General features: G+C 52.2%; 2 protein-coding genes across 9 annotated transcripts in view, besides 11 other annotated features; one reads left to right on the top strand and one right to left on the bottom strand.

The window, feature by feature from the left end:
- Nucleotides 1,752-14,023, top strand: ARX (aristaless related homeobox). The gene is made up of 5 exons (NM_139058.3): nt 1,752-2,175; nt 3,919-4,795; nt 7,412-7,457; nt 10,278-10,606; nt 12,807-14,023. The coding sequence occupies exons 1-5, from the start codon at nt 1,980-1,982 to the stop codon at nt 13,045-13,047; spliced, it is 1,689 nt and encodes a 562-aa protein (NP_620689.1). The 5' UTR covers nt 1,752-1,979; the 3' UTR covers nt 13,048-14,023.
- Nucleotides 4,020-4,063: a tandem repeat.
- Nucleotides 4,020-4,067: a repeat instability region, noted in NCBI's record as "repeat instability region; expansion of polyalanine repeat tract 1 can result in various intellectual disability disorders with variable clinical presentation". NCBI's record gives the evidence for it as "EXISTENCE:nucleotide sequencing assay evidence [ECO:0000219][PMID:17664401, PMID:11889467]".
- Nucleotides 4,020-4,187: a biological region, named in NCBI's record as "aristaless related homeobox polyalanine expansion region".
- Nucleotides 4,152-4,187: a repeat instability region, noted in NCBI's record as "repeat instability region; expansion of polyalanine repeat tract 2 can result in various intellectual disability disorders with variable clinical presentation". NCBI's record gives the evidence for it as "EXISTENCE:nucleotide sequencing assay evidence [ECO:0000219][PMID:12874418, PMID:11889467, PMID:11971879]".
- Nucleotides 12,506-13,079: an enhancer, noted in NCBI's record as "H3K27ac-H3K4me1 hESC enhancer chrX:25022755-25023328 (GRCh37/hg19 assembly coordinates)". NCBI's record gives its function as "activates a minimal SCP1, AML or CMV promoter by ChIP-STARR-seq in primed H9 embryonic stem cells {active_cell/tissue: H9 hESC(primed)}" and the evidence as "EXISTENCE:reporter gene assay evidence [ECO:0000049][PMID:30033119]".
- Nucleotides 13,080-13,654: an enhancer, noted in NCBI's record as "H3K27ac-H3K4me1 hESC enhancer chrX:25022180-25022754 (GRCh37/hg19 assembly coordinates)". NCBI's record gives its function as "activates a minimal SCP1, AML or CMV promoter by ChIP-STARR-seq in naive and primed H9 embryonic stem cells {active_cell/tissue: H9 hESC(naive and primed)}" and the evidence as "EXISTENCE:reporter gene assay evidence [ECO:0000049][PMID:30033119]".
- Nucleotides 14,283-14,817: an enhancer, noted in NCBI's record as "H3K4me1 hESC enhancer chrX:25021017-25021551 (GRCh37/hg19 assembly coordinates)". NCBI's record gives its function as "activates a minimal SCP1, AML or CMV promoter by ChIP-STARR-seq in naive H9 embryonic stem cells {active_cell/tissue: H9 hESC(naive)}" and the evidence as "EXISTENCE:reporter gene assay evidence [ECO:0000049][PMID:30033119]".
- Nucleotides 15,302-16,963: an enhancer, noted in NCBI's record as "VISTA enhancer hs145". NCBI's record gives its function as "enhancer in: midbrain (mesencephalon)[4/9] | forebrain[8/9] | eye[4/9]" and the evidence as "EXISTENCE:transgenic organism evidence [ECO:0001131][PMID:17130149]".
- Nucleotides 17,078-18,767: an enhancer, noted in NCBI's record as "VISTA enhancer hs122". NCBI's record gives its function as "enhancer in: forebrain[6/6]" and the evidence as "EXISTENCE:transgenic organism evidence [ECO:0001131][PMID:17130149]".
- Nucleotides 17,661-18,161: an enhancer, noted in NCBI's record as "OCT4-NANOG-H3K4me1 hESC enhancer chrX:25017673-25018173 (GRCh37/hg19 assembly coordinates)". NCBI's record gives its function as "activates a minimal SCP1, AML or CMV promoter by ChIP-STARR-seq in naive and primed H9 embryonic stem cells {active_cell/tissue: H9 hESC(naive and primed)}" and the evidence as "EXISTENCE:reporter gene assay evidence [ECO:0000049][PMID:30033119]".
- Nucleotides 18,162-18,662: an enhancer, noted in NCBI's record as "OCT4-NANOG-H3K4me1 hESC enhancer chrX:25017172-25017672 (GRCh37/hg19 assembly coordinates)". NCBI's record gives its function as "activates a minimal SCP1, AML or CMV promoter by ChIP-STARR-seq in primed H9 embryonic stem cells {active_cell/tissue: H9 hESC(primed)}" and the evidence as "EXISTENCE:reporter gene assay evidence [ECO:0000049][PMID:30033119]".
- POLA1 (DNA polymerase alpha 1, catalytic subunit) overlaps nt 20,731-23,511 on the bottom strand; it is a 303,069-nt gene continuing 300,288 nt past the window's right edge. For all 8 annotated transcript variants that reach the window (NR_165483.1, NR_165482.1, NM_001440806.1 and 5 more), the window contains one exon: nt 20,731-21,912. Coding sequence is in view for 6 of the 8 variants with exons in the window: in NM_001440806.1 (NP_001427735.1) it covers nt 21,767-21,912 (146 nt within the window). In the remaining 2 variants the exon portion in view is untranslated. The remainder of the gene's footprint in view (nt 21,913-23,511) is intronic.

Here is a 23,511-nt window from a genome sequence, read left to right as displayed (position 1 = left end):
TAAAAACACCGAACTCTTGGTGGGGATGGAAAAGGAAGAATGCGGGAAAGGCAAGGAGAGATCCCAGGTGACTTTGAATCGCAGAGAGGGCTTAAAGGAAAATCAAATGTCAGCGATGGCTCGGGTTCTCCTCCGCTCCCCACCACAGCCCGCCCTATCATCCAAGTGCAGAAAAAAACGGATGAGAATTAAGCTAAAAGCCAGAGAGAGAGAGAGAGAGGGACAGAGGAATTCTTTTTGTCCTGTCTTTAATAGTAGTAGTAGTATCAGTATTAGTATTCGCATTATTAATGTGCCTGTTCCCAACCCTTCATCCCCTCCCCCCAGTTTTGTCTTGAAGTTTCCTGCGGAGGCAGCCCGATCTGTCTGCTACCCACCCACCAGCATCCAAGAGTTATGCAGATGTTTATGGCTGAAAAAAAAAAATCCCAGTTATGCATCCTTGTATTTTTAAATACTGACTGTAAGTGATTCAAGTATAATCCTTTGTAAAATGCTTTTCTCTTTGACACATTGAAGGGAGTTGAGAGAGGAAAACCCGGCGTGGATTCCCCCTCCCTGGCCCCTCTCTCACCCACCACCTTCGCCCCAATTCTGCCAGCGTTGGGGCCCCTGGAAATCCCTGGGAACCTGCACCCAGGCAGGGAAGGCGTCCGTGCTGGCCCAGGCTCGACCCAACATCAGTTGGAGTTGGGTTTTAGTTCTCGGCGCTGGAAACTGTTTGGGAAGAAAGGCGCTCTCTCTAAGGTTCACTCTCTCACCTTTGCTCAAGGGAGCCAGGTCATGAGAATTCAGAATTTTAGACGCTTAGATTTGGCTGCAGCCGAATTTGGGTTCCTTCCACCCTGGAGAGGTCAGGGATCCCTGAGGGTTCTGCTCCCTAGCTGCGATTGGAAGGTGAACAGCCTCAGGGTGAAGGCCTAACAGATACGAATTTGTGGGGGAAAGAGGGAAGAGAGTCCAGGGAGAAAGAGGAGGCCCCCAGACTCGTCCCCAGTCGCCCCTCCTCGCTGCTGATACTCGCCTGTCCCTTCCCACCCAGTAAATGCTCTAGGGAAGGCCGCGCGCCTATGGCAGAGCTTTGTCTGTAAGGAGGCTTTTTCCCATTCCAGAGTTTAAAACGGAGAGGAGAGCGGTTGGGGGACGCTACAAACAAGAGAGACACAGTCGGGCTCAGGGTGAAGATAGACAGCGCAATGCCTTGGGCCGCAAGAGAAAAGCGAACTCCCAGACGGCAGATGTTTGCTTGGGGCGGTCACCCTGGCCCCCCGACGCCCGTCCGGCCTAGAGAGGACGGCAATTGAGCGCCAGGGAGGTCAAGGCGGTGTCCTGGGAGCCCAATATCGGCTTTGAAAAGTGCCGAGTGAGTCTGAACGTGAGCCTCGAGGCCTCGCCTCCAGGGAGCGAGGTCCTCGGGTTGGTGGAAGGGGCGCACGCCACCCAGATGGCATTCACAGGCCTGGCATCCCAATAAGCTAGAACTTCGGCCAACACTAAAGGGTCAAAGGAGGAGCTGCAGGAAGAGGATAGCGGACTTAGAAAATTGGTAACTTAAAAAAAGAAAGAAAGAAAAGGAAAATTGGCTCTGGTGCGTGCCCGCTGCCCCCACCCCCGCCTGCCCCTCTGGAATCCAGTCCGGGCTTTGCGCCGCGCCCACAGGCCGACGCAGCCCGGCCTCTGGCGAGAGCCAATCAGAGGGCGCCTCTCAGCACGTGGAGGAGAGAGACTCCAGAGCTCAGCGCCCGCTGCTCACTACACTTGTTACCGCTTGTCCTGAGCGCGGAGAGGGCGAGCTCGGGCCGCGGGCAGGGCGGGAGCCGGCAGCCGGCAACCAAGGGAGGCAGAAAGGCACAAAGATCGCAATAATATCCGTTATAACCCGCTATCTAACCCCACCCCCAACACACACCCATCCATCCCACCCTCCGGGAGAGGCAGCCGGCGATCCGCTCTCTGCGCCCTGGGAAAAAGCCCCAGCCATGAGCAATCAGTACCAGGAGGAGGGCTGCTCCGAGAGGCCCGAGTGCAAAAGTAAATCTCCAACTTTGCTCTCCTCCTACTGCATCGACAGCATCCTGGGCCGGAGGAGCCCGTGCAAAATGCGGTTGCTGGGAGCCGCGCAGAGCTTGCCTGCTCCGCTGACCAGCCGCGCCGACCCGGAAAAGGCCGTGCAAGGTAAGGATGCTCCCGTCAGGCACTTACTAAGGGCATTGGGCCCTGATTTGGATGTTTGGTGTTCGGGGGCCAGTGGCCTGGAATTGTCAATTTGGAGAGGAAGGAAGGAGAGGGCATAACTCTGAGGCCTGCTGCCTCAAAGAGCGTTAAACATCTAGCCAGGGCTGTCTCTCCCTCCCTCCCTCCCTGCTTCCAGAAAAAGGCCCGTTTTCGCTTAGGGAGCCTTTAGCTTTTCGGTGTTGATCGTTAGGTTGTTTAAATGCCCCTTTTGGTGGCCTTGGGTGTGCTCTGAAGAGCGGCGACAGGTCAGAAACAGTAGATGGCCGGTGGACCCTTGTAGCACCAACTTGATGAAGACAAGAAGCCCAAAAGCTGGTGAATCGGGGTCTCCAGGCTGAGTGAGCCTTGGCCTTTCCTCTTTGGAAGATTTCTGTATATGCAATGTTTTGGTTTTATTTTTTTAATTGCAGATTACTTGTGACCTTTTAAACCCAAGCTTTGCAGAAAACATCTTCCTGGGATTCTCCAAATGCTCCTTAATGTATTTAAAATGTATGAAATGTGTGACTTCTGGATGCTAATTTTTTCTCTGCTATTTTATTTTTTAAAATAGACGAGCTGTTTAAAATATTTTATTTTTTTCTGAAATTAAAAATTCCAGAACAAATGTCCTTTTACCCCGAACCTGTTATCCTCAAGTTTCGCCTCGAGCTTGCTGCAGAGGTGTCGCAGGGAAAGGAAAGAACTGTTGGTTTCTTTTAAAATCCAAAAACCAGCGGTCCGGCCATAGCGCAATTTGGATGGCAGGAGCAGACGGTTGAGAAGGGGGCATTTAAATAAAACTGACTTTTTTCTTTTCTTTTTTTAGCCTGCAGTGGCACCTATGCCAGGCGCTTCCTCAAAAGGAAGGAGCGGCCTGCGCCTGCTGCACTCCCACTCCCTCTCTGCCCCAGACCTTTCCCAGAACATTTTTGCCAGGATGATTTTTCTTTGCCTTTTTGTGCAAGAAGCCCCCCCACCCTCTCCCGCTGTGGGCTGTTGGGGCGCGGCCTGCACTTGGGGCCACAGGGCCGCTTTCCCCCACCCCGCCCCGCAGCGGTCGCCTTCAGGGCTGCACCCCTCTTGCCAACCCTTGCCCTCATGGTGGAGCAGCGGGCAGAGGTCATGCGCAAAGTTTTCAGGATAGTGGTGATTTTCTTTTAAAGTTGTAGAATGTTTTCGGATTTTCCTCTGCCCCGACGTGGGAAGGGAAATAAAAATGAGAGAGTAGGAAAGGGGAAAGAGAAAGGAATAAAGAAGAAAGAAGGAGAGAGGGGAGAGAAAGCCTGCAAAAAGAGAAAGAAAGGGGGAGAGAAGGAGAAAGAGAGGTGAGGAAAAGAAGGGAGGGGGAGAAAGAAAAAGAAAAAAGGTAAGGAGAGAAAAGGAAGGGAGAGAGGGGCAAGAGGAATAGATAAGGGAAGGAAGATAGGAAATAAAAGGGGGAGAGTGAGAGAGGGAACGGAAAGAAGGGAGAGGAAAGGGGAAAAAAGAAGGAACCCAGAGAAAGGGAGAAGGAGAGAAAGAAAGAAAAAGAAAAAGCAAGAAAAGTGGAGAAAGAGGCCAAGGCGTCGAAGTCTGGTGGTGCGCGGTCCCCGCACGCCTGGGCCTAGGCACTGGGGGAGCAACTGCGGGCGGGCCCCGGCAGCAGCCCTGGCTGGGACTCCCCGGCCGGCCGGCTGGCTGATAGCTCTCCCTTGCCCGCAGGCTCCCCTAAGAGCAGCAGCGCCCCGTTCGAGGCCGAGCTGCACCTGCCGCCCAAGCTGCGGCGCCTGTACGGCCCGGGCGGGGGCCGCCTCCTTCAGGGTGCGGCAGCGGCGGCGGCGGCGGCGGCGGCGGCGGCGGCAGCGGCCGCCACGGCCACGGCGGGTCCACGCGGGGAGGCCCCTCCGCCGCCACCGCCAACCGCGCGGCCCGGGGAACGGCCGGACGGCGCAGGGGCCGCCGCGGCAGCCGCGGCCGCGGCCGCCGCGGCCTGGGACACGCTCAAGATCAGCCAGGCGCCGCAGGTGAGCATCAGCCGCAGCAAGTCGTACCGCGAGAACGGGGCGCCCTTCGTGCCGCCGCCGCCCGCGCTGGACGAGCTGGGCGGCCCGGGGGGCGTCACGCACCCGGAGGAGCGCCTCGGCGTGGCCGGCGGCCCGGGCAGCGCCCCGGCTGCGGGTGGTGGCACCGGCACCGAGGACGACGAGGAGGAGCTGCTGGAGGACGAAGAAGATGAGGACGAGGAAGAGGAACTGCTGGAGGACGACGAGGAGGAGCTGCTGGAGGACGACGCCCGCGCGCTGCTCAAGGAGCCCCGGCGCTGTCCTGTGGCCGCCACTGGCGCCGTGGCCGCAGCAGCTGCCGCTGCAGTGGCCACAGAGGGCGGGGAGCTGTCACCCAAGGAGGAGCTGCTGCTGCACCCGGAAGACGCTGAGGGCAAGGACGGCGAGGACAGCGTGTGCCTCTCTGCGGGCAGCGACTCGGAGGAGGGGCTGCTGAAACGCAAACAGAGGCGCTACCGCACCACGTTCACCAGCTACCAGCTGGAGGAACTGGAGCGGGCCTTCCAGAAGACGCACTACCCGGACGTCTTCACCAGGTATGCGCGTAGGGTGGTCGCGGTCGCAGCGGCAGAGAGCGCACGCGGGCCCCAGGGAGGGACAGCGGGCTGGCAGGGGCCCCGGCCTCGGGGCGGACGCTTGGCTCCTGGACTCTGTGGAAGAGCGCCCTCCCAACACACCCACCCTTGCTCACCCAAACTACCCACTCCCCCGACCCCCACCCCGGTTCGGGCTTTAAGTTTAGGCTGGAATGGTTTATCTTCTTCCCAAGGTCGTTGCAGTTTAATGTTTTCAAATTACAAGTTTTAGTTAGAGAGAGGAAAAGAAACAGCCTCTCCAAAGAGCGCCCGAAAGCGCCACCTTGGAGACGCGCGCACAGCAGAGGGCACAGACACAAGGCCTCCGGAGCTGCGGTCCCGGCTAGGTCCCCGGCGAGGCTCAGGAAGCGCTGTCCGCAGACAGAGCAAAGCAGGGGCTATTTTTGGTCGCTGTGCTGTGCGCTCGCCACCCCCGCCTGGTGCCCCAGGGGCCTGGTGGGTATCAGTTACGCAGTTCGCAGTGAAGCTGGAGCCCGTGCCAGCGGAGAAGGCCTTTAAAAAGATCCGAGTTCTGTCGTTTCAGGACTCCTGAAATAACCAAAGGAAGTCAGAACTGGGCAGTGTTTGGTGTCTGAACACCTGAGGGGCCCCAGCCAGAATCTCCCCTTCTACTCTCTGTCCTCTCCCGACACACATATTAAACCCACCGTGCGTTTAATGTAAACGGGTTTACCGGGTGGACAATGATTGCTGGAAGCCTGGCAGGGAGTAGACAAAGCAGTTGGGGGAATTTTCTCTTTGGATCAGTGTCCAAGCCGGGTGTTCGACCTGGTCACGCTCCACCTCCCACTTGTTTTTCTGGGAAACATGTGCCTGTGTGATGACTGGACCCTCGGCCCCAGCTTATTCACCACCTGGGGCGCCGGCCCGGGTAGGGATCCTTCTCTCCCACCCCAAGGCCAAGTTCTCAGCTCAGGCGAGGAGCCAGTCTTAGGGCAAACGTCCCCCAGTGAGGGGGAGAAAGGGATCGGTGACTGCCTAGCGCGGGGCTTGTCAAGCGCGGGCAGTTCCTTCGAAGGAGACGTGCGCAGCTTTTCAATGTGCATTTTAGAAGGGGAATGCTGCCCGCCCCTTTGAACCAGAGGAGAAATCGCTGCTTAGGGCTCGGGAGGCCGAGCTACTCCAAAATGTAGTTGGCCTGGCAATTGCCTAACTCTCTCCCAACCAGAAACAGAAAAGAGCAGACTTAATGCCAGGCAAAGGCACTTAAACCTGGTCATCCCTTGGGCTACACTTGGTCTTCCCCTGTGTCACCCAGTCCTTTCCTTATCTTTAAAAAAGGAAATAAGTTTGAAAACCTATGTGTGCTGTCAAATAGCGAATTGGCCGACCAGCGTTTTGCGTTTATCGTACGTGTGTATTTCCAAAGAAGAAACTGAGCTGGTGTCAGTTGGCATCCACGTCCGCCCTTTCTTAGCTTCTGGCGGGCTTAGGGGCGGGGGAGGACCGAAGTGCACGAGGAGGGGCAGCTCCTCTTCCCCGCCCCACCCCCACCTCTTTCCAACCCAGGGGTTTGAGCCCCTTGGCTCCGGCCCTGAGCCAGCCTGGAGTGCCGCTTTAGATTTGCTGATGCCCACTGTAGCTGGGGGCAACGGCAACGGAGGGCACTTATGGAGACGGTTTACCTCTGGTGCTGAAGTTTCAGGTGTGGACTGGGGGCCTACCGGCAGGGCAACCCCAGGTCCCAGGCTTCGGCGGCCCCGCTCTTTCATATTAGCGAGCCGGAGGGCCAATTATTCTCGGCGCGGTCATATTTTCGGTAAACAGGTTGTAAGCCGTTTTACAGCATCTTAATGGTTTCCTATTTGCCTTAATTGTCGCAGTAATAACTGCAATGATGGGGTAGGGTTTCAGTTAAATTGACTTCCCCTGAGATGGGCAGGGTTTGTAGTGGGCATTGGAGTCAGGAGGTGCGCAGAATTTTGTTTAATCGAAAAATTACCCCACTGAACTCTTAACAAGCTTAACATACCTGCAGAGGGTAATGGGGAGTGTGACCCAAGGGGATGATGGAGGGAGGAAGGCGGGGGAGAGAGAGATGGAGGGAAAGGCATAGAGCTGGAAAGAGAAGAAGGAAGAAGGAGGGAAGAGAAATTTTTAAAAAGAAGGCAGAAGGAAACCAAGAGGACAGAAAAATATTTTCTTAGTTAAGTGCTGAGTTCCTATCCCACTTAATATTAGGACAAAACAGGGTATAAGCAGTGTGTGTGTGTGTATGTGTGTGTGTGTTGTCTAACTCTGGCTTAAGACAGTGAGAGAGAACCTGTGTACCCAGGTTTGTAGACTTGAAGCCACCCTTGGTTGTCACACACGAATGTAGTATGATATAATAGATAATATCCTATATCTGGTAATGTGCTTCGTGTTTTTGCATTTTCAGTCAAATAGTTGGCACTCCAGGGGGTGATGGAATGGTAATGCCCATATGTTTGGGGGTGGGGGGCAGGCAGCCAGGGGAGACCCTGGTGGAGTAGGCCTGCCATAGAGGAGGAAATAGCTGAGAGGGCATTGCTGGGGCCTGCAGTGACCTCCTGTCTGTGTGTTGCTTTCTTATAGGGAGGAACTGGCCATGAGGCTGGACTTGACCGAGGCCCGAGTCCAGGTGAGCTGCACAACAGAGGGAAGAGGGAGGGAGGAGGGCTGGGGGCCAGTGGGAGAGAGAGAGATGGGTTGGTGGCGGGGGGGTGCGGGGGGTGAGATCCCCTTCACAAAACCAAGAGAAGCAGGATCAGAAAAGTAGACCCAAGCACTCTCTCACACACAAAGATATTTAAAACTTAAGACATGGGAGGTGGAAGCGGGAGGTTTCTGGGTTTGGGAGCCCAAGGAAGGAGTCCAGGATCAGAACAAGGGCTTTAGAGTCCCTGAGACTGCAGTTTGGGACCCCCTAGCCCCAAAGCTCCTATAGGAAACAATCCACCGATCTACTTCTCCTGATTGAAATAATGGGATGGAGCATGGATTTGGTTGTTAGACAAATCCGCTCAGTTCCAAGCAGGTATTTGGCTGCGATTAAGTCTCCAATCGGGCTTCATAAAAGCCCACTTAGTGCTAGAACAAACAGGGCCATTTGAAGGCAAAATGCTGTTTGATTTCCCCTCCGCCCCGCACAAGGAGCTGGCTAATGCTATTTGATTTCCCATTTTTTATAGCAATGAACCCACATTGATCTAATAGGGAGTGAGTGCAATGCTATTAAAGGTGTTTGCAGCCCCATACCAGAGTGCATTTCCGAACCCAGGCCTCATAACCAAAGAGACGATCAACACTGAGCAGCCCCGATGGCCAACAGAAAACAGATGTCCCCGAGTTAGGAGCTGAGTGAATCACTTTACAGTCAAAATCAAGCGCTGATAAAGCACAATAAATTCCATATGGCTCATTTAATACACAACAGCTTCTTGCATTAGAGGGCTAATGATGAGGCCTGTCCCCTCCTTTCTGTTGACACATTTCTCCATTGTCAAACAGAGATGTGACAGCAACTCCGTATTTTCAGCTCAGGGGAACAAGTCGTGGGAAAGTTAAATAACTTTTAAAAAGAAAGAGAGCGCCCCCTCCCTTTCTCCTCTCCCCCTATTCACTGGAGAAGATGTAATTAAGTGAATATGAATTATTAGAGTCCTTTCGTTTACCTTTGGGGGGCCTCAGAGGTATTAATTCAATAATGAGGAATTGCAGGGGGACATCTTGATAATTGCAGTTGAGCCGGGAGAGACGATCTGTCTGTAAAAAGGTTTCCACGTTCTTTGAGGGCATTCTGAGTCCACTGCCCCCAGTTCCCCTTCTTCTTTCACTGCGATCAAGGAGTGGCGGATATTCTTGTCTAGACAGATTTGGCTACACAAAAGCTGCCCACCCAGTCCGGTCCCATCTACAGTCTTACTTTTTCAAGCCTCTGGGTTTCCACACTGAAGTGTTTCTGAAATTCACAAATAGATTATTTTGAAGGCTGTGGAATGGTGTGAATGGGCCCCCTTTTGGCCGACTTGGAAGTAATTGACCGATTTGGATTCTTGATTTTTCTTGCCCTGGGGGGCTGTCTAGAAGTCAAACCAAGCTTAGATGCTAGTGCTGGTAACAACAAGCCCCAGTGTGTAGATTTGAAAAATATGGATGTGTTTCACATTTTAAAATATATTCCTCTGGGATAATTTACATTATATTTTAATATAACTCTGTATAGCCCTGGAGTTCATTCTTAATTTTCAGACTTGTGTGCAGTTATAAACCCAGCCCTAAAAATATTAATGCCTTCAGGGGAGAAGGAGCATATCTTCCCAGCTGTGGGTGTGATGAGCAGGTCACATAAAAATAATTTCATGCTCCTGGGGTTTATTTTTAGATGATGGTAGCTGCCATGTTTCAGGTAAAGGTCTCCATTAAAACCGCTTTCTATTAGCAATTAGGAAAATACCTCAGGCTGAAAACCTCCCTCCAAGCCTAAAACTATCTTATTTAAATAGCCGATTTAAAACACATCTCCAAAAGGAAATAAAAGACTTGTTAGCTCTGAAGATGTGAAAAGTCTACACCTATCATGCCCTCTGATTTCTATGCGCCCAGGTATTGCTGCCTGCTTCATCCATGTAGTCAGTGCCTTCCTGCATAGAACTGGGTCCTGCAGGGATCCCCTGCCAAGAGCAGGTTGTGTATCCCTGTTTCATTTCATAGAGGATTGACCCCCTGAAATGTATGCTTGCTAATTAACTCGAGCCTTTCTTCCCTCCCTCTCATCCCTCTCTGAACCCCAGAACCCAGCATAGTGCTCTTTGGTGTTCAATAAATGTTTCTGGAAAGAATAAATGAACTATCTTTCCACTTTCCTCTTCCATACAGAGCAAGAATTTTGCCAGCTCTTGCGTAAATCTGAAATAGGTGAAAATAGCTGATATGCAGTAAAACAAGCATGTCCCTCATCTCTTGGTGGCTGCCCATTCCCTAGAGTCACCATTGAATGCATGCTTTCACTTGCCTTATTTTACCCAGTTCTCATAACAGCCTTATGAGTGAAGTTTTATTATCCCCATTTTACAGATTCGAAAACTGAGGTTCAGAGAGGTTTAAGTGACCTGCCTAAAGATCCTAGCAAGCGTCAGCACAGACGTTTAAACTTTGGTTTCCCCAACTCTAAACACACTGAATCACTTTCCTTAAACTTGGAAAACTGGCCCAGGTGGAATGCCGGCAGAAAGGGTTTGCTTGTCCTGTTTCCTGCTGACTTGAAGTTGCGGCTCCTATTCACTGCTCATTTGGCCCCAGACGCGTCCGAAAACAACCTGAGGCCAAAGAGGGGCAGGTGGGCGCGGGCCGCGGTGGAAAGGAAGGGGGCCCCGCAGCGCGCCAAGGGAAGGGACGGGTAGGGGCCCGGTGCGCCCGCCGGGCCGAGCCGCGCCGACCCTGGGCTCTCTCTGCCTTGCAGGTCTGGTTCCAGAACCGTCGGGCCAAGTGGCGCAAGCGGGAGAAGGCAGGCGCGCAGACCCACCCCCCTGGGCTGCCCTTCCCGGGGCCGCTCTCCGCCACCCACCCGCTCAGCCCCTACCTGGACGCCAGCCCCTTCCCTCCGCACCACCCGGCGCTCGACTCCGCTTGGACTGCCGCTGCCGCCGCCGCCGCCGCCGCCTTCCCGAGCCTACCTCCGCCTCCGGGCTCGGCCAGCCTGCCGCCCAGCGGGGCGCCGCTGGGCCTGAGCACTTTCCTCGGAGCGGCAGTGTTCCGACACCCAGCTTTCATCAGCCCGGCATTCGGCAGGTAACGCGCAGCCTCGGAAGTCTGTCTGTCTGTCTGTCTCTCATACACACAGAGGCTGGGGGCAGGGAGGAGGCAGGAGTCAAACAGGGTTACACACATCTTTTTCTTTGACCCAACCTCAGAGACTGTAGCCAAAGAAAATACTCTCTAATTGAGCCTCAAAAAAAAAAATGTGGGTCTTGAAGGTATTGACTTGGAACTTAATGGGAAAGGGGAAGGCAGTGGCAGTAACGACAACCGTGACAACCGAGAATGAAAGCTGTAAAAGTACCATTTGCAGGCTGCAACAAGTCCCACCATAGGTGGTAAGCGAGCAAATATGTACAGGTGTAGGGTACAGAGCAGGGACGACTTTTTAAGTTTTGCAAAAGTTCTTCCTTATGCCCCCCAACCTGGCAGCCTGAGGAACACAGCCCTGATCCCCATGGGAGCCCTGGAGCCACCAGGCCCTCTGGGTGCACAGAATTCTTTCTTCTGCCCCAGACTCCATCTTCCTTGTCACTCAAGTGACCCGCTGCCAACGACACCCCCATATGTGCAAGCCCCGATCTACACGGCAGTACAAGACAACGAAATAAAAGAAACAGTTCATCTTATAACTCCCTTTCTTTAATGAACATCGAATGAGGAAATAAAAAGTCTGTATAATCACACAGACAAAGAAACAAAGGAGGGATGTATTGTGTTAGCGCAGTGAAAATAAAACTGGATGCAGCTTCAATGATCACTCTTTGGGAGAACAAAGAAATAATAGATTCATCCAACTGCGCAGCTGCTTAACAAAAAATCATCTTACAGAAAATTAAGACTCGGAGTAAATTTAGTTTCTTATAACAAACCAATAAAATAAACAGCGAGCGCACTGAAGCAGAGTTAGTGACTCAGTTTACCTAATGGAACCAGGGCATGTTACGCCACCTCCGGGTCACACTTTATCATTTCTTTCTGAGAAAAATCTTAAAGTTCTGTCTCTCCCCTCCCTCCACTTTTTCCCTCTGACAAGTGACTTGTAAACCCAGGCGAACCGTGGCTGGAGGACCGAGTTGCGAGATTCGGAGAGGCTGGAAGAGGGTCTGGGCTGGGGTGGTGCGAGGAGTGAGCAGTGGGCTTGGGAGAAGGAGGCGGCGCTCGGTGAGCCCAGGTGGGCTCATTTCTAACCCTGGAAATCCGGAATTGGCCCCGCGGGCCTGGAGCCAGACCCCTCAGGGAGGCGGTCGGGAAAGCTCGCGGGCGCTCCAAGGCGGTGGGCGTGGGGGTGGTGTCCGGTGGCCCCGGGCGGCTCCGGCCACAGCTAATGTCCCGGTGCTGTGTGCATGGGGTGGAAGCGTCACGTGGAGTAATTCGGTCGCCGCTTGGAGGCGGTGGCGCTGGCGTGGGTCCCAGGCTTGGGCATCGCCTTGCGCCGCGCGCCAGGGTCGTGGGTCGGGGGCTCCCTGAGGCCAGAGGCTACAGGGGCGCGGGGAAGACAGCTGGGGTCGCCGCGCCAGGATGTGGGGCTGCTGGCAGGTGACACCCGCCCGTGGAGCCGAAATCAACAGGCGGTCGCCCTTCACTCTCACCCGCAGGCGCTGGCCAGACGCGGGTAGCTGAGTCCCGCGCGGAAGGGCGGCCGCGGCGGCGCGGGTGGCCCGGGAGGCCGGCGAGCTAGGCCTGTTTCTTCAGGGCGCAGAAAGTCCCGGGCCAAGGAGCCGGAGGGAGATCTCAGAGCCTGCGGCGTGCGTCCGGGCAGCTGGAATCCCACCTTCTCCGTCTTTTTTTTCCTCCCCCCTCCCACCCTCCACCTTCCCTTCTTTTGCTCTCCTCTCCTTTTCTCCTTCCGCATTCTCTCCTGGGAGATAGTGTCATTGCAGCCCCTGGCCTTGGAATAAACCGTCCGTTTAAGCGAAACCACCGAATCCACGCCACTGGGCCGTGGGGCTTGAGGTCTCCACGCCGGCCTGTGGACCCCGGCCCGGCCCGGCCCCTCGGGGAATATCTGGACTCGGTCTTTTCCCCCCAGTCGGTTCCCTGCCCCAGGAAAGCCCTCTCTGCGGGGTCCAGCTTCCGCCCGCGCCCTCTGCCCACTTCCCCGCCGCGGCCCATCCGGGTCCCGTGGGTACCGCGCCCCTCAGCTGCCCCGGCGACAAGCGGCGGGAGACGCTGCCCGAGGCGCCGCGCACAGCTCCCGAGGCCATGACCGCGCTGTTTGCTCTCCCTGCAGGCTCTTTTCCACAATGGCCCCCCTGACCAGCGCGTCGACCGCGGCCGCGCTCCTGAGACAGCCCACACCCGCCGTGGAGGGCGCAGTGGCATCGGGCGCCCTGGCCGACCCGGCCACGGCGGCCGCAGACAGACGCGCCTCTAGCATAGCCGCGCTGAGGCTCAAGGCCAAGGAGCACGCGGCGCAGCTCACGCAGCTCAACATCCTGCCGGGCACCAGCACGGGCAAGGAGGTGTGCTAAAGGCTGCCCTCCACACCCGCGCCCCGCGCGCGCCCCGAAAGGTCACCTCACTCAGCACCACTCAAGACCAAATGGAAACAGAGGACCAGCACACTCCCGAGACGGCACTGAGAGAGCGCAGCCGCCTTCACAGCAGTCTGGATGCGGGCATGGCAGCCCTCGGCGCTCCGGGACGTGGCACCTCCTCGGCTGGCTGTCCACCCGCCCCTGCCCCTGCCCCTGCTACTGCCAACCTCGCTCCAACTCCAACATCCACTCTCTCTTGTTCTTACTTTCCTGAAAATATCGGGGAGGTTTTCTCCCCCAGACGCCTGATATTGAAGTAAAAAATTTAAAAAGCCCAACCTCTTCCTCCTGACACCCCACTTAGCCTTTCTTTTCTTTCTTTCTTTCTTTCTTTTTTTTTTTTAAATAGCATTTTGGCGCTCGAAGTTGATCTCCCCAGCGAGGGCCCCAGCGTGAAGCCAGGGCCCGGGAAGCAAATGCGAGCCTGTAAGATAGCTAACAGTGCACTTAAAGGAAAGGGGCGTCTTGTTCTTGTTCTCTTCTTTATCATACACCAACCAAGGTTTTTATATCAAACCAAAGGGAAATAATACTCTGCTAGAATATGGACTGTTGAAGTCACCAAACTGTGATTATTGATTCTGTACATACCATTGTTATTAAAAAAAAAAAAAAAAGAACAGAGCTTTGTATATTTGAAATGTTATAACGCAATTGCACTCAGCGTGGTATGGTAAAAGTTTGTCCTCCCGTAGATTCTTACTGTGTTGTAGATACGGTAGGGTTCCTAGACAAATATTTATGTACTCAAGCCCTTTATTTAACTTATTAACTGTAGAGGCTTCCGAAACCTTCAAGATAAAGGCAATGGTACAGTACTTTTGTGTAATGTGTAATTGTTACCACTTTTCCTTGCTATCTAGTGGAGAAGTGTCACGCTCAAAATAAAAAAATTATATGTTTAACAAAACGAAGTGTGAATGCTCCATACAGGCGCTGAGGGGACAGTAGAAGCCCCCACCCCCACCCCCCGGGAGTCAAGGGTGGGCTCCAGCGTCCAGGCATCTCCTGGGATTATCTGCACACGCGTTTTCCTGGCAGAGGCCCCTGGTTTGAATCCGATCCTCAAAGGGAACCGGATTTCCTACGAAGGTTAAGGACGCCGCCGCGGTACTTTCCACGCGCACCTGGGCTCTCCCGGGTCGTGTCACAGCGGGAGCTGGGGGTCCCGGGCCACGGAGGTGGGGTGGGTTCCAGGATGGGTGGGTGGATGGTGGGCGTTGTTGACGGTGGAGTCAGAAATTTGAAGCAAGCGGGAGTCTTGGCTCGGAAGGCGAAGGGAGCTGTTGGAAAGTGCCACGTAGCCAGGAAGTGAAGTGCGCAGTCCGAGATGACAGGTAATGGCGAGAGCGAGAAGCCCAGGCGCTCCCTTCCGAGGGGGCGGGCTCCACGGCATGTTCGCAGGGAGGAGGGAGTGTGTGTGTGTATTGTGTTGTGTGTGCGTGTGTGTGTGAGAGAGAGAGAGAGGGAGGGAGAGAGAGAGAAACATGCGGGAGCAGTAGTGATGGAAAGGCAGCGAGGGGTATCCAAATGGCAGATCTTAACTCGACAAATGTCATTACATCACTTATCCAGGCATTGGTAAATGTATACATTTAAAAAAATCTAAACAACTCAGATTTCGTGAGGAGACCCAAACAGATTTGCAATCCTTAACCACCTCGGCGCACGCCTCCCTCCTCGCGGCGGGGACCGCAGCTTCTCCCTCCCCCGGGCCCTGCCCGCGCCCCTCCGGGTGACCGCTTGGTGGAAGCCCGCCCGCGGGGGCTGGGTCTCGCCGACGCTCCCAGGGTGATGGGAAAGGGAAGAGAAGCTTAATTAGTTTCAATTTGCTGTAATTAGCGCGCCGGACCTTTGGGGAGAGGGGCAGGCGGGAGGGGTGCGGGGGTGCCGCGGCGTGACTACCGCGATTGCGGAGCTGGGGCCGGCAGCCCCGCCACGCCGCCGCCGCCGCCGGCCAGTCGGTCGCCGCGGGGGGCGCGGGTGCCTCTCTGGGCTGGGGCCGTCGGGCTCCGCGCGCGCCCTGGAGGAGGGGGGCCGGGTCCCCTCGCGGCCCAGGGCGCAAGTGTGCGCGGCCGAGGGGAGGGTGCAGGGTTGGGCAGAGGTCAGCGGCCTGCCAGGCGCTGTGCCCACCTGGGTGTGGGCAGCCCGCCCGGCAGCTTCGGCGCTGGAGCCCGCACGTCCCGGGCTCGCCTCCTATCCTGCACCCCCCTTCACCCCCAACTTCAATCCCCTCCTCTCCAACCCCGGGTCCAGACGCCCGGAGACCCCGCCCGCCCGAAACGTTGGAGAGCTCACGGAACCGGCTCGCCGGCTGGTGGCCGCTTCTGGCACTTGGGTCGTCGGGTGGATCACCGCCACCCAACGCTAGCCCTGGACTCACGGGGGCGGCACTCGCAAGAAGGGCCCCGGCCTGGGGTATGGGGAGCGGCCGCCAACTACCATTCCTACCACACACTCCGTTCCCGGGTTTAGTAGGCCCGGTGGGAACTTTCTAGGGCCTTACTGGAGGTCTGAGAGTCTAAAACCCTCAGACTCCACATCCACAGGCTCTCCCTGAGTGAAAGCCGCTTTCCTGGGGTGGTCAGGGCCGCTGGAGAGTTTGGGGAGGAGACGGGACTGCTGGAGAAGACTGAGGGAAAGGAGTTGGGTGTGTGTGTGTGTGTGTGTGTCTGTGTGTGTGTGTGTGTGTTGTGGTCGATATCAATTTTGCGTCGATTTTGCCTTTTTGTTTAGTAGGGCTTCTTTTCCCCCCTCTAGGCTGCTAGTTGGATGGTATACGAGAAACAGTACCATTCTTCCTGTTAATGAACTCTTTTTTAAGTCATTTTTTCTCATTTGACCCTTCCATGGAACAGAAGCAAATTGCGTGAAATTACCTCCAAGGATTACATTTATTACTGGCCAATGAGAACCCCTCGCCTTGTTTTACAAACTCTTAATCCTATGTCATTCTGATGCTGCAAACAAGCCCAGTCCTGGGCCTCCTATTCTTTCAACTTTCCCCAGCTGGAGGGACCTCATTCTGCACTTAATATTCCCCATAAATATCACACGCTAAAGACCCCCTGACTTCCAGCAAGTCCACATTAAACATGTGACATGTCACGCATGAAAAACTCTGAGTATCTTTTCAAAGCAGCATTAAAAGCAAAGAAACCAATTTTCTTCTCCTTCCAAACCTCCCCAAGTGCTGAATGATGGGGATTGGAAAGAGCCACTGGAGCGTACTTAGGGGGATTTTATGAGATTTTCCAGAATGATTTAATCTTATTGTGAGCATTATTAATGAATGGCAACCCAATTTGGCCCCAATATCTGGGAACTTGGTCACAATGCTGGGAGCGGCTGACCCCCCCCCCCCAACCTTAAGCAAACCTCTTCCACCATGGAGGACATGCAGAGCCCCAGGGAGTTTGCGAGGGCCCAGTTCAGGGCATGGCTGTGTCCTATCACACCCAAGGCAGAATGGCCCAACACCTGCTTTCCCAGGGCCACCCCCACAGCATCTTGGGGTGAGGGGTAATTGAAGCCTGGGACAGGCCTCTGTGGGAGGGTTGAGGGAAAGGAGTAAGTTAATTTGCTACATTTTCAGACAGGTTAGCCAGATCTGGAGGAGGTCCTGGAAGGCAAAAAGGGCGCATTTGGCATAATATTATCAGAGGTGTCCTTCCATCACCAACTACCCATGGCCCGAACTGTGGACAGTAGTCAGGGCGGGCATCTTAGGTGTGTGGGGAGGTAAGTGGAATAATTAGGGAGAGTGACTGTTGAGAAACTTTGGGCCTCCTTGGGACTTGAAACTCAGACTTAAACTAAAGTCCATGCTGAAATTGGCTCGGAACAGTTTCCCATTTTTTTTCAGGTACTAATCACCCCCCACCCAACTGGGGCTAACGTTGTTTTTGATTTGTAGTATCAAGAGCCAAAGCACCTGTAGTTCTCTTTTTAGTATCCTTTTAAATGTGATCTTACTAGAGTGACAAAAGGGGCTGATGTGAGAGAAAAACAAATTATAATAGGTTAGCCCAACTTGCTTTAGGAGAAAAAAAAGTCCATGAGCATGTGTTTATGTGTATACCCAAAAGTGAGTGTGTCTGAATGAAGGGGGTCTTAAATGGGGCCTAAAATAATATTTTGGAACACAGAAGTCCCCAGAACAACTGCATATTTCACTGAGAGTGACAGCCTGGCTGGGGGACAGGAAGAAGAAAACCCACTACCTGACGGTGGGGAGAGCGGGCGGGGGCGTGGGGTGGGGGGAAGCATTTTTCAAAGGAAGAAGTCTTGTTATCCCTCCCTGGACATTATTAAGGGTCCAGTTTGAAGTATACATTTTTTTCCTTTAAAGATATGGGAGTGATTACCGGTTATACATTAAGAAATGTCATTCAGTCATTTTTATTCATTCTCCGGAAATCTTCGTAAAAGCCTGAATCATACTTCTACAAGCAGCAATTTTGTTAATCCAGGGGGTTATTACTCTGGGCCCTTATTAGGTTCTACACCACTGCCAAGCAATCCTATAACCCTCTCAAAAGAAGTTTACCTCCCTGTTATAAAACCAGTAGTGGTATTTATACTGTGCAATAATTAGTGTATTACTTGAATCCACTAACACGTTCATTTTATCTCTGCACAAAACCTCTAGTCTGCTTATAGAAAGCTTGTGCCTCCTTTGGTGCTGTTAAAGTGGTGAAAGAGTGAATTGAAGGCTGGTTGCACTTTCTCCTTTTGCCTCGCCTTAATTCCCATCTCTTTTTGCTCTCATCCAATTAGCACAGTGTATTAAGCGGTTTATCATCTCATAGTCAGCTATTGAGAGAAACAAGGCGAGCACTTTGCAATAGAACCTGCGCTCCTTTGACACCCTCAGGTACTTACATATTCCACTGCGCTATGAATAATAGAGGAAGAATGGAGCGCTAATTCCCTCATCAAAGAATGCCTTGTCTGCTGCTTTGCTCAACAACACCATTCTGATCAAAAGAAAAGCAATAAAGCTTAGCATAACAAAACGAAACCTACTTATTAGCTTAGTGGTTAAATTAATGCAGAGCCGCTGCTATTCAAAACCAAGGTTTGAAAACAGCCTCCAACAACCTGATAATGCTGCCTTCGGGATGAAGGAATTTTAATCTGAAATTTGAGGCTGGCTGAGATGAGTTAATCTATTAAACTGCTATAAGGAAGCTCCACCACAAACTGTTCAATTAAGAAATATTTAGGTGAGAGGGGGTGAGAAAGAGAGAGAGAGACAGAGAGAGAGAAGAAAGAGGGGGCGGGAGAGAGACAGTGAGGAGCAGGGAATGGCAGCTTTAAATTTGGGATGGGAGCATCGAATTAAAGGGTCGGGCATCCTGACAAGAGGGTCTGGGGCTTGGTGTTTTTCTTAAAACCCTAAAACAAACAGGAAAATCTGTTTTTGGAGTTTCCTTACTGTTGCATCTTCCGCCAAACTAATTTTAAATGATGTTTGAAGAAGTATATTGAGGAGCATGGTGTGTGTGTTGGAGGTAAGAGGTAGTAAGGGCTGGAGAAAGGGGTGATGGTGAGGGGCAGTGAATTCATTCCCTTTCAACTTCTCCCAAATTCCAGTCTTGGAACTTTGATTAACCCCCACATCCTGGGCAACAGTCACAAGATTAACTCCATCTGTTTTCTGGACAAATTAAAATCTTATCAAGCATACTCTGTGGGATTTTCCACTTCTGGCCCCCCTCTATGCACCTTATATGTAGAAGAGTGGAGGGTTAGCAGATTGTGTCCAAGATAAGCTTGTGTACAAGTATCTGCTACAGGTAAAATCCTAGTTCCTAAATTAAACAGAAAAAGTGCCCTTTCCAGAGGCAGGGGGCTCTGAGAAGAGCAGGGTTCTTTTAGGGTATAATTTCCCAACTGGCCCAGATAAACTTTGGCCCAGAGGTTTACTCTGGCCCACACAGAGTTTAAAGTTTCATTTTAAAAAATTAGTTGTCAAGGTTTAGAAATCAGTAAGCTTTGTGGAATATTTGGATTCCTGGCTTCTCTTGAAAACTCGATCATGTGGCCATACTGGGCCCTGTCCCTCCCAGCATCACTGAGTAGCTGCTGGCCCCTTTGGACAGGACCTGCTCACTCCTGTTTGCCACAGTCCCTGCCACTCACTCTAGTGTGAACCTGGTTTGCTTCATCCATTCACTTTTAGAATTTGAGTTTAGGACACGTGCCGGAGTCCATGGAGACCTGCAGGTCACCTCTCCCCTTACAAATAAGATGGGCAAAGTTTCCGCATCAGTTCTGCTGGGTGCACTATCAACCACACAAATCAAGGAGTAGAAACATCTCTCAGAGAAAAATAAGTATGTGATACTCCCAACTTCTAACAGAGATTCACTGGAATTCTTAAAGTTGCAGTTTCAACTTTCCACAAAATTCTGGAATCCTTAGGTGCCTAGAGTTCTAACAGATCCCAATAAGAAAACATCAACTGCTGCATTAGCTTTTTTCGGGGACAGTACTTAGAAATGCCTCACATTCTAGAGAAATGGTCCTTGCCCCCAGGGTGTTTATAATCTAGAGGCAGGGACAAGAAACAATCCAGTGAGAAGTTACTTGAGTCTCTTGGAGTTTCCTGATGACCAAGTTCAGGGTAACTATTTATATTTAATATAATCCCAGATCCCAGAAATCAAGGAAAACATGACTCCCCTTCAGAAAGCACACTTTAGAAAACCATCTCTCTAACCTTATGTGAGAATAGCAATTACTGAAAGAGTTGACCAGGGGAGCAATAAAAACACATTAATCCCTTAGTTCCTGAAGCACCTTGGGTGCTCCAGTTTGTGACAGGCTGCAGAGCTTACACAGTAGCAAGTTAGTTAATTAACTGACAGGGCTCGAAACCCACAGTGTTTCTACTTAGAATCTCAGTCTAAGAGCAGGAGGAGAAAGGAGAGGGATGGGAGCCAGAGGGGAGGTGAGGAGGAGAAATAAAAAGAAAAAGCAACATAAAAGGCAGCTTCATCTCCACTGCTTAACCCATCAGTATTCCTTCACTAGGGGGACCTTTTTTAGGGGGCGCCTTTGTCTCAGGAGCCCTAGGCCTTGCTCTTCAAAAAGAGATGCTGCTGGGCTCTTGGCTTGGCTCTCTAAGTCAGCAAAGCACGTAAGAAACCATACTTCATCTCTTAAATGACCTAAAGTCACAGAAATTCTGAATGCTTCTCAGAACATTCGACCAAATATCATGCTGTGCACTCCTGAGCTGGGTTCTGATAGAGGTGGCTATGAAGAAACTGGGCTGAGGTTTGAAAAGGGGATGGCCTCTAGTCATATATATATATATGTGTATATATATGTGTGTGTATATATATATATGTGTGTGTGTATGTATATGTATATGTATATGTATATGTATATGTATATGTATGTACGTGTGTATGTATTTAGAGGTGGGGGCCTCACTATGTTGCCCAGTCTGCTTTGAACTCCTGGGCTCAAGCCATCCTCCTGCCTCCACCTCCCGAGTAGCCAGGACTACAGGTGTGTGCCACAGCAACTGGCTCTACTCACATTTTACTCCTTGCTGCCTCTCTAGTCAACTCTTTGCACCTGGTAAGGATTCACCACAACTGCTTTCCCTTTAGAAAACTTTATTCTTAAGAAGAAGGCACAACATACTTTTTCTTTTATAAAAACACACAGGTCAATGTTTTTTAAAAACACAGCATAATTGTACAAGGGGAAACATTTTGTTAGTATAATCTTACCAATAATGTAAGAGAGGAAAGACTGCCATACTGAAATACATTTTGCTGCTGCCAAAGACGGTCCTATTGTGAAGAAATGAGAAAAAAATAGCAAGCGCCAGGGCCAATTAAGCATCCCTCTCCCCGTTTTTCTGAATACAACACAGTGATCCTCACCGTAACCCCTACACATGTTAATGGATTGTTAGAGTATCAAATTATTTTCAATGTGCTTTCTTGTTGTATAAACCTTTACCTGCACTTTCTATTTAAGGGGCAAAAAGGGAATGTGAGTGTAAAACACCTGCTCAGTGTGTGTCTGTTGGACTTTGGAGCAATTCAACAAACAAGCCTGCTCTGTTTAATCTATTTAGTGAGTGCAAGGCTTCTAAATCTTCCCCCTCAGCTACCTATATAAAAGACAAGACTGAAAAGGACAGCCACTCCTGGATGGCTGGAGAAGCATTTGGATTTAGACCGGGTTTAATTGGCATATGAAAAAGCAAAACGTCAGCTCTTCAGTCAGGCTCTGAGAAGCTCTCTTTATGTGGGGGGGACATAGGCTAAAGGCCCTGAGGCAAAGCCTGGGGTCACTTACATTCCAGCTACTCTCAATCCAAGTAGCAATTTCCCTCCCTCAGAAACCGGGTCTTCAGGAGCTTGGGGAGGGGAGCTTGGGGAGGGGCTCTGGAGTTGTGTTTTAAAGCAGTACATCTTAATATGAAGACAGGAATTTCTATGATGCTTACGAACATTAGACTCAACATTTTTGCAGCCCCCTTTCCTGGTCTACATTCACACAAACATGAGACACAGTCCCAAGGGAGAAACAGATGCTGGAGGAGCATTTAGGGCCAGAGTGGAGGCACAGAGGAAGCTGGGATTTTTCAACTACCCCCTCCTTGGTTACTCCTGGGATTCCCTTAGGATTTCACGGCACAACCAGCGAAGAGTTTGCTCAGATTCACTTCGGAGTAGCCACTTCGGGACAAGAATTGCTCTGCTGTGTTCTTGAGTTTTCTGTAGTCCTGCAGAACTTTGGGGGTAAAAAATTGCTTCTTCAATTTATCTAAAAAGAGAGAGAGAGAGATTAGAAGTCTCAGGTAGTTTCTTTAAAGAACATTCAGTATTCCACCAGAGAAGGGGATGCTGATTCCATTTGTATCTCCACCATCTTATCTCTGGTCTACCCCTGGGGCCAGTCAGATGCAGCCCCCGCCGACCATTCCTCTGTGAAAGCTTTTCTTCCTTTCCCCTGTCTGTCCGCCTCTCAGCACCTAGCTGACTCAGTGCACTGGGGGACAGGGCCACCCTCTACTGATGTGAACTGCAGGTGCACCCTCATGTGCAGCAGACAAGGTGAGCTCTACTCGCAGACGCCACTTTCACCGGCGCTGCGAGCACATGCATGCAACTGCTTGCGAAGTCTGGACGTGGCAGGAAACACCTAGTCTCAAAGGGAGCTATGGCCTCTGGTGCCTTCCAGCCCCAACTCCCCAGATCAGCTGGGCCTAGTAAGCATTTTCTAGTCCCTCCAGCCCAAGTCCCTCTGCTAAACAAAATTTCCTTTGCTGAAAGAGGCGAGAGGTGAGCGGCCCCGAGGGCACCTGTCTGTCCATGGCCAAGATTTCTTTGCTCTTCTTTGTCCACACTGTGTGAACTCAGGGTATGCGGCACTCCTGCTCCTTTAACCCATTCATCCCTGGCCTTTCCCTTCTGAGCAGGATGCTACCAGCCAGAGAAAAGACCCCTCTCCTTTCCCTTCCCAGAGCCTGCTACTTCTACATGTTGTTTTTTTTCTTTCTTTTTTTTTTTTTGAGACAGAGGTTTGCTCTTGTTGCCCAGTCTGGAGTGCAGTGGCGCGATCTCGGCTCACCGCAACCTCCGCCTCCCGGGTTCAAGTGATTCTCCTGCCTTGGCCTCCCAAAGTGCTGGGATTCCAGGCGTGAGCCACTGCGCCCGGCCCTACATGTTGTTCTTTTAAAGGAGCAGTGGGGCTGTGATGCTCAGGTCTGATCTTTTGGGTGAAGAGAGTGATCACGTGGGGGATGACGCTGTGTTCAGGAACCTGGTAAGGTGTCTGGAGAGGCTGCTTTCCCCGCGCCCCCCCCACCCCCAATCCCCATTTGATGGCTGAGGAAACTGGGAGGTTAAGTCACTTACCCAAGGTTACACAGCAGGTAATCAGAGTTGTAGACACGCAAACCCAGGTAGCCAGAACCCCCAGCCCGCACCTGAGGAGAGGCTCACTTCTGCCCACTCCCCCTGCCACTACATCACTACTCCCACATAGAAATTTGCAGGCCTCAGACATCAGCTGATCCTGAGGTGAGGCCTCCGCCCCCATAAGATGCTGGCCTGTGCCAAAGGGCCTGGGAGCAGCAAGGCTGCCCAGCACCTCCCGATAGGAACCGGTCAGGAAGGAAACACGGAGGGGAGAGCGCGCCACTCACAGAAAGCAAACCTCCAACAACAGCAACACGGGAAGTCTACAAAACACCCGGAAAACGAAAACTCAGACTCCAGATTTTTGTTTCTTGGCTATACATTCGCATTTGCTCTCCACAACCTTTTCTGAATTACATAAGTTGTCCTTTAAAGAACAACCACAGGTTTTATAGAGAATTAAAATGCCCAAAAGGGGTGGAAAAAGAGAGGGGGGCTGCAA

Source organism: Homo sapiens, chromosome X, assembly GCF_000001405.40.
Source record: "Homo sapiens chromosome X, GRCh38.p14 Primary Assembly".
NCBI classification, from domain to species: domain Eukaryota; kingdom Metazoa; phylum Chordata; class Mammalia; order Primates; family Hominidae; genus Homo; species Homo sapiens.
This window is presented reverse-complemented; position numbering and strand designations above follow the sequence as displayed.

Bases quoted from the DNA above. Each gene is read 5' to 3' on its own strand.
- ARX (NM_139058.3), top strand. From the start codon at position 1,980: ATGAGCAATCAGTACCAGGAGGAGGGCTGCTCCGAGAGGCCCGAGTGC. The intron at 4,796-7,411 runs GTATGCGCGTAG...GCTTTCTTATAG, and splicing joins TACCCGGACGTCTTCACCAG to GGAGGAACTGGCCATGAGGC. The intron at 10,607-12,806 runs GTAACGCGCAGC...CTCTCCCTGCAG, and splicing joins ATCAGCCCGGCATTCGGCAG to GCTCTTTTCCACAATGGCCC.